The 18,587-nt window shown below is 36.9% G+C and overlaps 1 protein-coding gene and 1 long non-coding RNA gene across 14 annotated transcripts in view; one reads left to right on the top strand and one right to left on the bottom strand.

The window, feature by feature from the left end:
- Positions 1 to 18,587, top strand: part of INPP4B (inositol polyphosphate-4-phosphatase type II B) — an 823,376-nt gene that overhangs the window by 173,344 nt on the left and 631,445 nt on the right. The window contains exon 3 of one of the 12 annotated variants that reach the window (XM_047416359.1): positions 12,296 to 12,415. The exons of the other annotated variants lie outside the window; for them this stretch is intronic. The gene's annotated coding sequence lies outside the window, so the exon portion shown is untranslated. The remainder of the gene's footprint in view (positions 1 to 12,295; positions 12,416 to 18,587) is intronic. 12 annotated transcript variants of the gene reach the window in all.
- LOC101927613 (uncharacterized) overlaps positions 10,494 to 18,587 on the bottom strand; it is a 100,791-nt gene continuing 92,697 nt past the window's right edge. Inside the window, exon 3 of one of the 2 annotated variants that reach the window (XR_007058285.1) lies at positions 10,494 to 10,727. This is a non-coding gene — a long non-coding RNA (uncharacterized LOC101927613). Of the gene's footprint in view, positions 10,728 to 12,333; positions 12,410 to 18,587 lie in introns of those variants that run through there. The other variant, XR_001741432.2, reaches the window with a different exon arrangement.

The following is an 18,587-nucleotide window of genomic DNA, read 5'->3' as shown; positions in this document are numbered from 1 at the left end:
TTCTAAATGAACAACGTTAGAAAATTCACACTGTGTGATTTTAAGACTTTGTATTAACTAGAGTAATTCAGTGAGTGTGGTCTAGGTAAAGGACAGGTATATAAGTGGCTAGAAAAGATTGGTAACTTCAGAAATAGGCTCACAGAAGTAGGATGGCCATGTGATGTTGGCAAGGGTGCAAAGACAATTCATTGCAGAAAGGTAATCTTTTTAACAAAAGATACTGGAAAAACTGGATATCCATTTGCAAAATAATGAACTTCAACCTATACCTCACGTAATATACAAACATTAACTCAGTATACATCATAAACCTAAATAGAAAATCTAAACCATAAAACTTCCAGAGGAAACTATGGAGAAAGTCTTCAAGACTTTTGATTACGTAAAGATTTCCTTAGCTATGATACTAAAAGCAAGATTCATAAAAATTGTAAATTAGACTATCAAATTTGGAATCCTCTGCTTCTTGAAAGACATTATTAAGAGAATTAAAAGGTGGGAAGAAAATATTTGCAAAACACATGTGTGATATGGAAATTGTGTCTAGAATATATAAATAACTTTCAAAATTAAATAAGAAAACAAAATAACTGAATATAAAGAAACATATTTAAAGAGACACTTTGCCAAAGGAGATATAAAGATGGAAAATAAGTACATGAAAAGATGCTCAACATCATTAGTCATTAAAGAAAAGCAAATTGAAACCACAAGGGAATACTACTAAATCAACTAATGTCTGAAACAAACAAACAAACAAACACCACCAAAAAACCACTGTACCTACCAAGGTCTGGCAAGGATTTAGAATAGCTGGAAGTCTCAAACATTGCTAATGTGAATGCAGATGGAAGAGCCACTTTCAAACACAGTTGGGAAATTTCTTGTAAAAGTAAACTTACACTTACTGTATGACCCACCAATCTCTCTCCTATTCACTGAAAACAAATGAAAACTTATGTTCACACATAAGTACAGAAACACTTGTAAATGAATATTTACAGCATCTTTATTCACAATAGCCCAAAATGTAAACTATGAAAATGTGTTTCAACTGCTCAATTGATAACAAAGTAGTACTTTCAAACAATGGAATACTACTTAGCATAAAAAGGAATTAACTACTGATATATTTAACAACATACAGTATGGGAAATGAAAGACATCAGACTCAGAGGGTTACATGTTTCATGATTCCATTCTGGAAAAGACAAAACCATAGGACAGAAAATATTATCAGTGGTTGCTAGGCATCGAGAATAGAGTAGGAGTTGACCTCAGAGGAGCATGAGGCAATATTTTGGGGTGATGGAATTGTTCTATATCTTGATTTAGTGGTTACTCAATTAATATACTTGATAAAGCTAGTCAAATTATACAGTAAAAGGGTAAATTTTACAGTATGTAAATTACACCTCAGTAAAATGAAATTTTAACCACTTCGATGGGAATTTTATTATGCCCCCTGGTGGAAGTGTTACTATCTTGGAACTAAGACCTCCAAACCTACTAAGTCTAAACCTATGAGGGCGATATGCACAAATTTCCCAAGTGTCACTGGCAATAATAGTAAGTGGGACAACTTCTACTTTATCCCTTGGTTTCTGGACCTACAAATTCCACTGAATTGGTATTGTAGCACCATACAATGAAATTGCATTTGAGATGAGCCTTGAAGGAGCCAGTTGCAACAAGTCTATAAGGTGGGAAGGATTCCCAGAGGAAAAAGCATTGTAAGAGCAAAATATTGGAGGCAGGAAAATACACAGTGTGTTTCAGAATCCATTTCATTGGAGCACTAGGTACACATAGGACTATATTGAGATGAAGGCTGCAAAGGAAAGTTGGGTCATATGATGTTGTGCTGAAAAGGTTGTATGTAATTCTGTAATCCATTCAGGGCTTTGAGAGACAAATTGGCTGATGATAGCTGCACTTTAGGGAGATTGGTGGATCGCCAGGCCTTAGTATAGATTTATATGGTTCAAGAGAAAAGGTGGTTATAATGATCCTCTGATTTTCCATATGACAAGCCTGCAACCGCCCAAAACTTTGGTGTTTTTACCTACATCTATATTCTTTTCCCCATCTAGTGCCCTAGAAATAATTATCTTCCACACTGGGCAAAATTTAAGAGCTAGTTTAATGTTTTAGGTAAATTTACATTAAGATTAGGGTAGTCTTGCTTTTTCCCTGTAACTGACTGTATGTCTAATTATCTAGGCTTCTAGCTTCCCCTCTTTCTTTAAAAAAATTAATAGATAAAATTGTATGAACTTACCATGTAGAGCATCATGTTTTGAAGTATATACATATTTGTGGAATGACTGATTCTAACTAATTAACATGTGCATTATCTCACATAGTAATCATTTTGGTGGTGAGAACAGTTTACATCTACTCTCTTAGCATTTTTTAATAATACAATATATTATTAAATATTGTTGCCATGTTGTGTAATGATCTCTTGAACATACTTCTTCTATCTAACTGAAATTTTGTATCCTTTAACAACATCTTCCCAATCCCAGCCCCAAACCACCGCAGCCCTTGATAGTCACCATTCTACTCTCTTCTTCCATGACATCAACTTTTTTCTATTCTACATATGACTGAAATTTATGTAGTATTAGTTTTTTTTGTGCCTGACTTATTTCACTTAACATAATTTCCTTCTGGTTCATCTGTGTCCTCACAAATGACAGGACTTCCTTCTTTTTTATGACTGACTAGTATATCATTGTGTATAATACCACATTTTTTCTTCACCTATTTATCCACTGATGGACATTTGCTTAGGTTGATTCAGTACCTTGACTATTGTGTATAATGCTGCAATAAACATGGAAATGTAGATACCTCTTTGGGATCTTTATTTTAATTATTTTGCATATATAACCAAAAGTGGGGTTGCTGGATCATATGGTAGTTCTACAGCAGTCCTCCCTTATCTGCAGGACATGTTCCAAGGCACCAGTGAACGTCTGATACCACAAATAGCACCAAACCCTACACATACTATGTTTTTTTGATCTGATAACTTAGATGGCTACTAGGTGACTCTTAAGTGATTAATGGGCAAGTAGCATATACACCGTTTGTATGTGTATACAAAGCATGCGATTTCAAACTTATGAATTGTTTATTTATGGAATGTTTTACTTAAAATTTTGACTATACTTGACCACCAGCTACTGAAACCACAGAAAGTTCAACTTTGGAGAAGTGGGGCTCCTGTATCTTCAAATTTTTTGAGGAATCTCCATACTTTTCCCAGTAAAGGCTGTACTAATTTACATCCACAACAACAGGATACAGGGTTCCCTTTTCTCCATCTTCTGGCCAACACTTGTTATCTTTCTTATTTTTGATAATAGCCATGGCTATGGCTACTGCTTTTGCTGCCTGTGCTTTTGGGGTAATATCCAAAACATTACTGCCCAGACCAATGTTATGGAACTTTTCCCCTATATTTTCTTCAAGTAGTTTTATAATTTCTGGTTTTACATTTAAGTCATTAATCCACTTTGAGTTGATTTTTGTTTATGATGAGAGAGAAAGGTCTAATTTCATTCTTCTTCATGTGGACATCTAGTTTACCCAATACCACTTATTAAAGAACTGTGCTTTATTGTATAATCTTAGTGCCTTTGTCCAAAATTAGTTGGCTGTAAATGTGTGAATTTATTTCTGGGCTCTCCTTTCTGCTTCATTGGTCTCTGTGTCTGTTTTTATGCCAGTACCATGCTGTTTTGGTTACTACAGGCTTGCAGCATATTTTAAAGTCAGGTAGTATGATGCCTTCAGCTTTGTTCTTTTTGTTTCAGATTACTTTGGCTACTGGGGGTCTTTGTGGTGTCATATGAATTTTGGGATTATGTTTTATTTCTGTGTAGAATTATATTAAAATTTTGATAGAGATTCAATTGAATCTGTAGATCTTTTGGGTACTATGAGCAATTTAACAATGTTAATTCTTCCAATCAAAGAACACAGGATATCTTTCCATTTATTTGTGTCATTTTAAAGTTCTTTCATCAATATTTTACGGTTTCAGTGTACAGATCTCTCACCTCTTAGTTAAATTTATTAATGATCATTTTATTTATTTTTATTTTTATTTATTTTCTTTTGAGGCGGAGTCTTGCTCTGTCATCCAGGCTGGAGCACAGTGGCGCAATCTCCGCTCATTGCAAGCTCCACCTCCTGAGTTCACATTCATTCTCCTGCCTCAGCCTCCTGAGTAGCTGGGACTACATGTGCCCACCACCACGCCCGGCTAATTTTTTTTTTTTGTATTTTCTAGTGGAGATGGGGTTTCACCATGTTAGCCAGGATAGTCTCAATCTCCTGACCTCGTGATCTGCCCACCTCGGCCTCCCAAAGTGCTGGGATTACAGGCATGAGCCACCACGCCCAGCCATGATCATTTTATTTTTTAGTAGTTATTATAAATACAATTGATTTCTTTTTTGGATAGTTCACTGTTAGTGTACAAAAGTGCTACTAATTTTTGTATGTAGATTTTGTATTCTGCTACTTGTCTGAATTGTTTTTCTAGTTCTAATAGTTTTGGGGTGGAGTCTTCAGGATTTTCAATATGTAAGAACAAGTCACCTGCAAACAGGGACAATTTAAGTTATTCCTTTTTGATTTGATACTTTTTATTTCCTTTTCTTGACTAATTGCTTTGGCTAGGCACTCTAGTACTAGGTTAAATAGAAGTAAATATGAGCATCCTTCTCTTGTTATGGATCTTAAAGAAAAAGCTTTCAACTTTTTTCCAGTGAGTATGATGTTACCTGGAGTTTTGTCATATGTGACCTTTATTTTGTTGAGGTTCATTCCTTTTATACCTAATTTGTTTGTTTGCATAAAAGGAAGTTGGATTTTTAAAATATTTTTTCTGCATCTATTGAAGTGATCATATGTTTTGTACTTCATTCTGTTAATGTGACATATCACATTTATTGACTTATGTATGTTGTACCATACTTGCATCCCTGGGGTGAATTCCACTTGATCGTGCTGTTGAATTCAGTTTGATATTATTTTACTGAGGGTTTTTGCATTTATGTTAATCAGGAATATTGGCCTGTAGTTTTCCTTTTTTGTACTTTCTTTGGTTTTGATATCAGGGTAATGCTGGCCTCATATAATGAATCTGAAAATATTCATTCTTCAATTTTTGAAGAATTTGTATTAGGTCTTCTTTAAATATTTGACAGAATTCAGTAGTGAAACTGTCAGGTCCCAGACTTTTGTTTGATGGCAGAATTTTTATTACTAATTCAATCTCTTCTTACTTGGCTTATAGCTTTTTATTTGACCAAGATTTATCCTTGAATCATCATCATAGCACTTAGTTTCAGATTTGCACCTCTATACCCAATCCTTTCTATTCAATCATCTACTGTGAGGCCTCCTTCTTGAACAGAGAGACTGGAGTCTGTCTTCATTCTTCATTATCTCAATAGCCTTATAGTCTTCGCTATCCTCCAATGTACTACTCCTAGATCCAATTAGCAAGGGCTGGCCATATGTCAGGATCCTTTTATGCAATCTCATTTAATTCTCAAAATAACCCCCTAGAGATATGCTCACAGATGGAGACACAGGCTTAGAGAAGTTAAATGACTCATTTTTCTATGCAATTTGTAAGCAGCTAAGATAGGACTAGATATCAGTAGTTTGACTCCATAACCTGGATTCCTAACATCTCTAATGTCCAGGTTGCAGCCATATTGATACAGGCCAATACAGTGCATTACAGTTATTGAGTTGGTAGTCTGCACTTTATGGAGCCATATTCTGCTAGCATCAAGAGGTACATGATGGTGGAAGCAGCCTCCAATATGTAGATATCAGGTCATGACCAACTGGGTCAAGATTATAGGGAAACAAACTGCAGCACAGAGCAGAAAACAAGAAAAAACTAAAATGTGAAGGCTGGATAAATACAGCAGGGACTGAGAAGGAGGGCTACAATTGAGTAGACACACTGATTCTGAGAGATAATGCTTGTCATACTATGTAGGGAATAAGTTTTACTGATGCCCTCATCTGATCATGGTTTTGAGCCTATTATGCTGTTAGTATGATCAGCATTGCCCCACAATTTAGGCTTTCAAATGCCAGACCACAGTGATTGATCCAGGCTAAGGAAGGTAGATGTTGACAAATACATATCATGTTAAGTGATTTCTTTTATTTATAAAGTCCATGTTTTAAAATATGGGTGTACTTTTGTTTGTGATTTACAGCTGAGCTTCAGCAGCCATTGAAATCTGACAGAACGCATGAAAAAAGTCTCAGGTTGTGTTGACCTTCCATTCATATAAATAGTTTGTTTATTGAACAAATGAATATTAAGGGTTATTAGTCTTTCTTAAGAAATGTTAGCAAATTAAAAGGTTGATAGATTGCATTTGTCTTCATCCTTTTGCTCTCAAAGCCAGTGCTGGTGATGTAATTGGACATTAACAAACAGTAGGTGTTCAACAGCAAGAAAAGTACACACACACACACACATGTGCACACACACACACAGAGAAGGCCAATACCACATTAAAAATTTTAATTTTCAAGAGCTAAATATTGAGATATTCTAATATTTGGTAGGGTTCTTTTTTGCTTGATATTGTATTATAAGATTTTCATTAATATAATAAAATATTAAGAAAAAATCTGATTTTATTTGCCGTATAATATTGTTAAATAAATATTTGTTAACTCACATAACTTTGCCTTTGTGAAAATGACAGCTTTATCTCTGATTACTTTTTGTTTTTATTTACCTCTAAACTCTTTTTTATCTTTGTATTTTTAAGCTTTACTTTTTATATGCATTTCTTGTAAATAGGTTTTTAAAACTTTATGAAATGAATCTAAAATTATATATACATTTTTACTCTTGTTGCAAAAATAAACTGTTTCTTGCAGAAAAATTAGGAATTATGGATCAATTACACAAAAATAAGCAATACCTTCCTAGTTCTTAATATTTTGATTTATACTTTTCCATTTATACATATATATACACACACAGATATATACACATACAAGTATATGTAGTAGTCCCCCTTTTTTGTGATTTTGCAATTTGCAGTTTCAGTTAACTGTGATGAGTACCGTATAGTAAGATATTTTTAGAGAGAAATAGGCCAGATTGACATAACTTTTATTACAGTATCTTGTTGGAACTATTCTATTATTTGTTATTGTTTCTAATCTCTACTATTCCTTGTTTATAAATTAAACCTTATCATAAGCATGTATACCTAGAAGAAAACATAGTTCAGTGCTATCCATGGTTTTAGGCATCCACTGGGGGTCTTAGAACATAGCCCTCATGGACAAGAGGGGACTACTGTACACACACATACTTATATATTGATTTATCAAGCAAAAGAAGTATTATAAATATGACATTAGTTATTTTTGGTGCTTTTTTATTAATAAAATCTGAATTTTTTATCATTTCACATAGGTTATGAAAATATTTTCAATGGCATACAGTATCCCACTTGTATCATTTTTTATACTTCTTTGACTACATTATTTCCATTTTTTGCATTAGTAAACAAAACTGCAGTGAATGACCTTGTAGGTAAATCTTTGACACATCAATCATTATTTCTTTGGAATAAGTTTCTTTTTCTTTTTCTTTCTTTCTTTCTTTTTTTTTTTTTTTTTGAGACAGAGTCTCGCTCTGTCACCCAGGCTGGAGTGCAGTGGCATGATCTCGGCTCACTGCAAGCTCTGCCTCCCAGGTTCACGCCATTCTCCTGCCTCAGCCTCCCGAGTAGCTGGGACTACAGGTGCCTGCCACCACGCCCGGTTAATTTTGTTTGTACTTTTAGTAGAGACAGGGTTTCACTGTGTTAGCAAGGATGGTCTCCATCTCCTGACCTCATGATCTGCCCGCCTTGGCCTCCCAAAGTGCTGGGATTATTGGCGTGAGCCACCGTGCCTGGCCGGAATAATTTTCTAGAAGTGAATTTGTGAGACAAAAGGCATATGAAGTATGGTCATGTGCCACATAATGACATTTTGATCAATGATGGACAGCATATCCCATGGTGGTCTGATGAGGTTATAATATCATATTTTAACTGTACGTTTTCCATGTTTAGATATGTTTAGATATACAAATGCTTAATTGTGTTACAATTGGCTGTAGTACTTAGTTCAGTTATATGCTATATAGATTTGTAGCCTAGGAGCAATTGGCTGTACCATAGAGCCTAGGTGAATAGTAGGCTATACCACCTCAGTTTACATAAATACACTCTATGATGTTGGCACAATGATGAAATTGCCTAACAATACATTTCTCAGAACATATTCTGCTGTTAAGCAAGGCATGACTACATAAGGATTTTGGTTGAAAAAAGCAAAATTTAATTTCTTACTTTAGACATCTTGTTTTCTGTTTTCTGTATTTTGTAAATTTCTGTGCTCTTGGAATTCTGTTTTTTATATTTTATTAATTGAAATATATCTCATTTCTATTGATGCTTTCCTTTCAATTAAAAAAAATTCTTAAAACTTAATTTTTATAATTATAAGTATTATAAACTGATTATTTTACTGTTATCTTTAGTCTTCAGTATTTGTTATTATTTGTTGTTAGTCTTCGTGTTTCTGAATGGAAGTGACGTAAACCTGATTTTGGCATTCTAATGTGTTAGAAATGATCTAGTATCTCACCTTTGGCTTTTGAATTGTCCCATTTATATATTATGCAGTGCCAGGTATTGGATGGCAACGACCTGTTCTAGGCACAGAAGGGACAGCCCAGACTTGGGTGAGACCTTGGTGGAGTATTAGACACAAGGTTGAAAAGGGACCTGGCCTTAGCGGGGAGAAGAGATGGCAAAGAGAACCAGGGGCCAGTGAGCCAGGTAAATAGCTTGGGTTGGGCATAGGAACATCTTGGCAGTGTGGGACATGGCTTAGCCTGCTACCATCAAAGTCCTGGCATGGCTGGCATGTATGTTGGTGAGTAGGGAAAATCTATAAGATGCCTCTCTTACTCTTCCTAATTGGGCCCAAACTGAAGCTGTTAAGTGGGCCAGGTAGATCCCTCAAATAGATAATTAGAGTCTTCAGGCCAGAGAGTTAAGTGCATGGCATTCCTCAGATGAAATCGAGTTCATGAATTGCCTCAAAGAATGCAGATAACCAAGTCATTCCTCTGATACATTTCATTTCTTAGTCATCTTTTTGGAATATCTGGAAATATTTTCCCAAGGTAATTACTTCATTTAAGCAAACATTTTTTAAAAATACATCTTGAGTTTCTTTCTATAATTCATCATCTTTTAATTTTATCAGAGTGAAAATTTCCACTTACTGAAAGATTTTTCTAAATTTTCAATACATTTGTCTGAAAATCAGAAAACTATGGTGACAGTTGCTATAGAAATTCTTAGAAATGAATCAAAACACAATTAAAATGGTCTTTCAGCTTATAAATATATTAATTTTACTTTATGAAAAATAAATGGTCTATTAAAAATATTACACATAATTACTTAGCAGCTTGGATATATTTCAAAAAATATACAGTTAAGTGACCTTTTAAAAAGACCTGCTCCTTATATTGAAGAAAACCTGTCCATTCTTATTCTCTAAACAGAGATGCATTTCTTACATTACAATGTCAACTTAGACAGTTCTTAAAGATGTCATCCATTTAATTCTTATCTCTCATTTTGTTTCTAAACTTCTATTTCTATTAATATATCTATATTAAAATGTGTAATCACAAATTTCCTTGAACTTCCAAATCTAATCTTAAAGATAAATGAAATTAATTTATTATCCTTCAATATACAGACCTGTTCTCATTATTCTAATTTATTAACAATGATACTGATTTGCTTCTCTTAGTTCTTGAATGTTTTTAAAGAGATGTAACTTTTTTTCTGACGTGACCTTTTAACAGATAAACAAAATAGATATTAAACATTTCAATGAGAAAATGGAAATGGAATAACTCGCCTGACTACTTCTGATCTAGAAAAACACCCATTGTACTTCATACCTTTCTCTCACTTTCACCTCCATCTATGCTTTTAATGTCTTTCAATTTCTCAGTTGGTAAATTAAGTTTTTCCTTTATTCTGATAATTTGTTTCAACAAGAGACCCCCAACTTGTTCCAGTAACTTTTAATACTTAGGAAAAATGTGACTATTAATATTAATTAAATGTTTTGGACTAATGAGATGACTTTCAATGGTTATAGCATTTTAATTATGAGACCAGCCCATGTATTTTAAGATTATAACTATTTCTCAAACCTTTCCATAGCCAGGAATTTTTAAAAACTCCAATATGTCAAATTTTCTTTTACTTTACTTTTGGATTTGGATTTATAGGTTTACTTTAGCTGCTCCAATGAATAAACACCAAATTTTTAATTTCTTACTTCTTTGAGTCCAACATGAATATTTCTGATTAGTGGGCAGTTTTTCTCCATGGAATCATTCAGGGAACCCAGGCTCTTTCCACCTTTTGATTCCACCATACTCTGGTGCCTCTGAGTTCTCCATCTCAGATCTATCTGCTGCTTAAATGCTTTCAGCATGGAGGTGACACAATCTCTTCTCAAGTTCCTTTGGTGGGGGCTAGCACATGGACAAACCTGAATCCAGGGTAGCTAGGAAGTGTATCTCTAATTGTGCAGCCACCTCCCCGCGTCATCAACACCATGCTCTGAAATAGAGAGGGGAAAATTTTTGGTGGACAATTAGTCATCAATGCCACATAAAATTAAAAATGTGAGTACCTACCTCAAAGGTAATATAGGTGATGCTCTCTAATAATGAGACAATAACAAGGGAGCATTAAGATTGTGCAGAGTTTTCAAGAACATGACCACACATGTGCAGTGGTCAAACTTTGTTCAACCTCTCCCACCGTTTTTTTGTTTTTTGTTTTTTTTTTTGAGGCAGTCTCACTCTGTTGCCCAGGCTGGAGTGCAATGGCGCTGTCTTGGCTCACTACAAGCTCCGCCTGCCAGGTTCACGCCATTCTCCTGCCTCAGCCTCCCGAGTAGCTGGGACTACAGGTGCCTGCCACCACGCCCGGTTAATTTTGTTTGTACTTTTAGTAGAGACAGGGTTTCACTGTGTTAGCAAGGATGGTCTCCATCTCCTGACCTCATGATCTGCCTGCCTTGGCCTCCCAACGTGCTGGGATTACAGGCGTGAGCCACCGTGCCCGGCCAACCTCTCCCACTCTTCTGACCAATTATGCTTTAGGGTCCTGTTCACCTCAGTCCCCATCAGATCATGTGGAAGACTTCAACTTAAGGTAACGTCTCCTGAGCTCCATATGCATCTACTACTAGCTTCAGATGGACTGTCTCCTGTTTTGAAGGAAAGACTTGCAGTATCTGTAACTTAAAGTGAAGAAAAGTCTTTTCTCATTGTTTCCTAGTTAGTAGCTGTAGTGCACTATATCTGAATGAGGTTGAAAGATTTCTGTTTTAAATAGTCATCCTTAAGATCTAACAAAGCATGAAAGAAAGATCCCGTTGTATTTTTAAAAAGGGTTTATTTAAACTCTGAAAAAATTGCTAAATTTAGAAGTCCACAGTGTTTAACTATTATAAAAGATACAATATTGCAGGTGGAGAAACTCTCAAACATTACCTACTACTGTGATTGTAACCTATTTTTCAAATTCTACCACATCTTGTTTATATCCATTTTAAGAGCTTAGTATCAGGAACCTATTTAATATATGACTAAAATTGTTTATGCTGTAATTAAGCTCATTTCTTCTTGTGCTCTTCTCCTGCAGAATACAAACAATCGGTGGTTATAGTTGGCATGTTGAAATTTATTTTATTACTGCCCATATGTTTTTATGTTCTTATTGATAAATGTAAACCTCCCTGGTATTGTAGGACTTTTCTTAGTTCAGCTAAAGACTGGGTTCTTGTCCATCCCAAGGCCACAAAAATTTAGCCTCACAGACAGTTTAAAGGGTGAGCAAAATAGGGTTTTATTGGGTGAAAAGGGAGAAAAACGGGTGGGGGAAACACCTGCCTGGCGTTTGAATCCCAGGTCCACACAGGAAGACGACGAGGCAGGCTCCTCCCTGCTTCAAATCGTGTGAACTTCCCAAGGCTCCACCCCAGTGCGCAGGCTGCTTGGAGTTTCTCCAGGAATCCCCTCCCACTGGCTGTCTCATTCCCCCCTCTAAAGAAGTACATCTAACTGTGGTTAGATTAAGGATAAGGATGAAGACTGATCTTAACCGCTTCCTGCTGACAGGGGGCGCTGTTTTGGGGAAATGGCAGAACTCCCTCAGAGGCTGATCTAAGGGTTCCCGGCAGAAGGGGCCATCTTCAGAGGCTCTGGTTGCATGACTGTTTGGAGTTTGATGGCCTGAAGGTAAGAACAGACAAACCCAATTATTAGAAAACATGTATCAAAGTGAAACAAGGGGAGGGGTAAGGACAGCTCAAAAATCCTGAGGCCCTTTACCAGTTTGCATGGAGAGAGGGAGGCCAAAAGCCTGACTAGTTAAAATCTTTACCCTTTTGGTGGCATGTTGGGCTTCTGGGTTTCCTTCCCCTGGGCCCAGTCCTAAGGCAACCAGTTTCAGCTTTGGGAAATTAACTCTTTCCTGTTTGGAAAATGCATCTGAGGGGAGTGTCCCATAGTACAGAGACACAATTAAATATCAGTGAAGAGAGAACCAAGGAGGAGAAAGGAATAAAAAGAAGATGCCTTTTAAAGGAGTTCCAGGGGTTCAGGATACATTTTAAGGGGTACAGACTGAAGATGAATGGCTACCCATCTAGAAAGAGGGGAGTAGCCATCTCTAGTTCCCTTCTCTTCCTAGCAGATACCCAGGGGTAAGTGAGGGAGAGAGAGAACAGCATCCTCTTTCCCTCTTCCATCCTTGCATCCCCAAGTCCTGGTGACCTTGGCAGGTCTCGCCATGCAAAGCAGCTTGTACCCATGAAGTGGGGGATGGGGAGGGGGTGGCTAGAGAAAAGGAATTATCTGTTCTCACCTATGTCTCTTTCCCACCTAATGTCAGTAGCTTTGGAGTTCCCTAGACCTCATTTATGCTATGGATATTAACGTGGTCTTTATCCATGAAACAGGAAGCTTGGGGTTGGCTTAATTGGCAGAAATCAGCCACACTCACCTGCTCGGTGCCTTTTAACCTCTGTTGTTATCTGCCTCTGGATCCTTAACATCCAGTTTTCCTTCCTAGGGCTTTGAACCAAAGCTTAGAATTGAGTCTGGGACAAAACTGTATCTCACGGGTGGGGGTGGGGTTGCATGGATGCCTTATCATAAGCCGAATGCAAGGTGAAGCTGTGGAATTGAGTCCTCCTCCAACAAGGGAGAGGAAAGGATGTCTTGTGAGACACCCAGATGAGTGTTTGCTATAGTTATGCTTGCTAAGATTTGGGTGCATGGTGCTTGGCTTTGGTTAGCTCCCTTGGTTTTACTTTACCAAAAGGAAACCTCCGAGTGATGGGCATCCTATTTATTCCCATCACCTGGCAGGATTTGAAGGATAATTACTCAGAACTAGAATATTTATCAGGATTTCTACATCACCCATCCCTCATGTTGTTTCTGAGCTGCAGCTAGAGATTGCTGGTTGGTTCATAGGAACAAGCAGGGTTAGTTTCAAATGTAGGCAAAAAATTAAAAACAACTAATGAGTTTAGAATTTAGTGACCAATATATAAGTTTTGAAACATAATTTCTCTCTCTCCAGTCCTCTTTTTTTTTTCTTTTGAGACAGAGTCTCACTCTGTCGCCCAGGTTGGAGTGCAGTGGCGTGATCTTGGCTCACTGCAAGCTCCACCTCCCGGGTTCACGCCATTCTTCTGCCTCAGCATCCGGGGTAGCTGGGACTACAGGCATCTGCCACCACGCCTGGCTAATTTTTTTTTTTTTGTATTTTTAGTAGAGGCGGGGTTTCACCGTGTTAGCCATGATGGTCTCAATCTCCTGACCTGGTGATCTGCCCGCCTCGGCCTCCCAAAGTGCTGGGATTATAGGTGTGAACCTCCGTGCCCTGCCCAGTCCTCATTTTTGTTAAAAAAAAAATTATAGGACTGAATGGTTTGCAAAATAGAATTTAGTCTTAAACTTGGCCTGATTATTTGCATAAAGTGCAGCAAGAATGATTATTTCTACATACGCCTTTTGGGTTGGCTTTAATGGGATTTTGTTCCACAAGGAGTCTCAGATAAGAACTTTTAAAGCCAAGCCCAACCATGGGTTTGTATCTTCAAACACCTGTGAGTTGGGTGCTTCTGTCCTCTTAAGGTCGATAAACTTGGACCTCCTAGAACTGTTAGAACGTGACATTCTTTACTGACCACAGGTCAGGAACCCTGTACAGGGACTGCATAGATGAGGTATGAGACCAGTTTCCCCACTGGGCTTTTATTGGCTCTGCAAGTCAAGATCGTCTACTTAAAGGGAAGCATACCCTTCTAGTTAAAGCCTTGGTAAAATAACCAATTCTTCCAATTGCATCCTGCTGCAAAAGAAAAATGGATTCTTATTGCACTGATGCAAACAACTGTAATGCCGTAAGTTAAGAATGCTCACAGATAGTTTCAAAATTCTAGAGGAACCAGGCAGAGACAAACAAACATGCTCCATATCTTGATCACAGGATTATACCTTGCTTAATTCTTAAAGGCTGTAAATCATTCAAAATAAGTTTCCTTGACTATGAAAAACAGAACAAGGATCAGCAATATTTAAACCAAAAGTCAAAAAGGTTGCTTTAGTTTTCTGAGTTTAGTCCATTTAGTTAGCCCTTGTTTTACTTGATATTTGTGAACATTTCAGCTCTTCATGAGTCCTGTACATTTTCCTGTATTCCAATGTTACAATATCCAAAGTTATCAGAAGCCTGTATTTAAGAGCACCTATTACAGTTTTATAGCTTATTATAAACCATTTTTTGAAAAGGATTAAAGCAAGACAACAATTGTCTGTGAAGAGCAAAATGTTCAGTGAGTTACAGTTAGAAACACAATTGACAAATTTGGTTATCTTCATGGTTTACAATAACTTAACATAACCTTAATTATGATTGATAGCATATCGTTAGACATCAGGATTTTAGAAATCCCATGCAATTTTGGAACATATGTGAACATTATTTTCTAAGAAGATTGAATAACATTTTGGCAATCCTATGTACCTAAACATGTCAAATGATCCTATTTACCTCTCTTTTTGGACACTTCAGGGGCCTTCCGAAGTAATTGAAAAGCCCGGTGTCAAAAAAGACAATTTTGAAACTTAAATTTGATTTTCAGAATCCGTTAAATATCTTCCAGGTTTAAAACACTTGATATTATGAAATAGAATTCCAGATTACCATGTCATTTATTTTTCCAAAATGATGACTCAGAAATTTTAAAGCAGCAAAAACATTTTATAACCTATTTAGTCAATATGTTTACACAAAGAACCTCTTCTGAAAGATTAATTTCCACAGTTCTTTCACCACTTCTTTGAACCTTCAGCTTTTTCCTAATTTAACTCAAAACAATTCTTTAACCCTAGGCAAAAGTTTACATTTCCAAGCCTTCTTATAACCTTTTACTAAAAAACACATTTTACTGTTCTTACACACCCTGCATGTAAATCTATTTCTAGTAGTTTCAATTAACTCCTAGCAATTTTTAACTTTAAGATAAAACTTGGTAAGTTGCTTTGTGTGCTAAGTGCAGCCAAGGTTTGCATTCTTAGTTAAGGGTGTGATTAGTTCCATATGTCCACACCTTACCAGTTGTGAAGCTGACAAGTCAAATAGATCTCAAAACCCAAAAAGCAGTTTGTAACCTCAAAACACTTAACAAACCTTGCATCTGACCTGAATTTTACCAGTGGTCTTTAGGGCTGTTTATATTTCTTAAAGATTAAAGTCATGTGAACTGAAGGATACCACAGCTTTTATCTTCCCTCTAAAAAATGTTAGATCCAAGCGCTTGTTTTTCTTTAGGCCAAATTAATTAGAGCTCTTTTTACAGATATCACACACAGTACACACACAGAGGACCACCCAGTCACTGGGTGCAGCCCTTTAAGAGACAGGGCTAGGAAAACATGCAGATGTCTAATCTGAGAGGGCTCATCCCCTCAGACAGGATTGTGAAACAAAGCCTTGCCAAGTGGCTACTGGCCATGCCCCCAGGATGTAAAGCAAGATGGAGGCTTGCAACACAAACCATACAGACGTGTAAAGCACACCAGATTGGCCACAGCCAAAGACTAGTCCCACAAATCCTTTTCCACAACCAAAACTTTACAGAGAGTACAAACAGTGATAGTTGGGGGGCCTAACCCAGTAAAAACATCTTCTAAAAGGAAAAAAAAATCTTTAAGGGCTAACTTGTTGATGAGGTAGAGAAGGAGAAAGAACAAAAAAGCAGTTTAAAAATTCCTGGGGAAGAGCCTCTTATTCTTGTGCAAATGGTTCCTCCACCAGGGAGACAAGTTTAAGCTTAATTGCTGTCCAATAGAGTTACACCCCTTGGCCAAGGAAGGGGAAGACTGCTGCAACGGGAAGTGGTTAGGACCAGCCAGCCAGCTGTGCGGGATCCTTAGGCCATGCATCCTAGCCCCAGCAAAGCAGGGAGCTGCTGCTCAGCAGTGAGTCCCGAAAAAGGAAGGAAAAGGCCATGAAAAGGCCCAGGATCCACAGGGGGTAGGGGTATGGTTTTCCCCACTGTCAGAAGTCCCAGGATGAAAAGGCTTAGAAGCAACAGTGAGAGGTTTTGTGTCCCCATTTCATTCACCACTTCTCGAGCCCCATGTTGGGCGCCAAAAATGATGCAGGACTTTCCTTAGTTCTGCTACAGACGGGATTCTTATCTGTTTCCCAGCTATGAAAATTTAGGCTCACAGACAGTTTAAAGGGTGAGCAAAACAGGGTTCTATTGGGTGAGAATGGAGAAAAGTGGGCAAACTGGCCAGAGTCTCTCCACTAGAGCACTTCCCACCTGGTGATCAAATCCCAGGTCCACACAGGAAGCAGAGGGGCCAGGCTCCTCCCTGCTGCAAATGGTGTGAAGTTCTTGAGGCTCTACTCCAGTGTGCAGGCTGGTTGGTGTTTCTCCAGGGACCCCCTCCCACCTGGCTGTCTCACTACAAGTATGATTTAGTATTGCCTTTAATATTCAGTATTTATTTTACCTGTATGTTGTATTTCAGAATTAATGATTAATCAAGTATACAAATGTCATTATGTCACTGTCAATATTTAAGGAATGGTATTAGTCATCTAACTAACAGTAGGTCTGCTTTTGAAAACCAACAAAAATGCAAGAGGCTTTTGAGAGTGCAAGTAAAAATAGAAAATAAATTAGAGTAGTTGGACTTTAAAAGGAATAATGTACTTTAAATGGACTTTAAAAGGAATAATGTACACAAATCAAAATAACCAAGTAACATTATTAGGAATAAGTTTGTAATCTACAGTATGTTGCCACAGATTCCAATTTTTTTATACTCAGATAATTATGCCATTCATTAGCTTTAAAGAATGCTTTTGAGTCTTGTTACTTAATCGTAGACTCATGCTCGTTAATTATAGAAAATGTAAGGTGCAGGGTTTTTAAAAAAATATAATTCATTCAGGTGCCTGAAAAGCACTTAACATACAGGTTGTACAAATTAGCTGCATTTCACAGATAATTTTGGAGGCAAATATTAAAAATGAGCATATGGATGATCCTTTTACTTAGACTTGGGCCAGGTCTGAAAGAGTTTGGTTCATTGAAATAATGATATGCTCCATAACACAAAGAGGACTCACTGAAGATGGAAAATTTTAATCTATTCCCTGTAAATGAAAGCTTAGAAAATAAAATGACAAGAATTGAACAAGTGTGAAGACAATGGAGCTCACCTACTGGAGCTGGACCACCAGGTGAGATGATTTTCATAAGCATCATTCTAACCAGGAAAATTGATGCTATACAGCAATAATAAAACAATATCTAGGAAGGTTTTCTATTGTTGTTTTTTGAAGAATGTTAACTACTGAAACTATGCTTTCATGCAATGAATTAGAAGACAGAAACTCTGAATTCTAGATCAGATTTGTAACTTTTTATCTTACTGTTGCTGTGAGAATTGAGCAAGATAATGTATCTGAAGGTGACTGTTGCATATACTAGATTCAGGAATCCTTTCAATTAAGTGCTTTCTCTTTTTGGCAGCTATATAACATCTTATCCCCCATGGGTGCACAGGGAGTGATCCTCTGTGTATTGGACTGGCTTGGGTATTTGTGTCACTTCATGCTTTGGAACATTATTTTGAAGACAGGATCTGCACCTTATTTACTATTTTAACCACCTCCTTGCTGAACACAGTTCTCAAATATCCTTAAAATTATTTACTGACTTTAATTGAATAATTGAGTTTCAAATTAAAATGGAACTTTGGTCTGACTTTGTTGTCTCCTTGTCTCCTTTGTAATGTTAGATGGAAGAAGCTATTCAGGGAAGGAGTGACTTCCAGCTTTGAAACAAGAACTTTAGAAACTTCAGAAGCATACGGA

This window comes from Homo sapiens, chromosome 4 (genome assembly GCF_000001405.40).
Source record: "Homo sapiens chromosome 4, GRCh38.p14 Primary Assembly".
Taxonomy (NCBI): Eukaryota; Metazoa; Chordata; class Mammalia; order Primates; family Hominidae; genus Homo; species Homo sapiens.
This window is presented reverse-complemented; position numbering and strand designations above follow the sequence as displayed.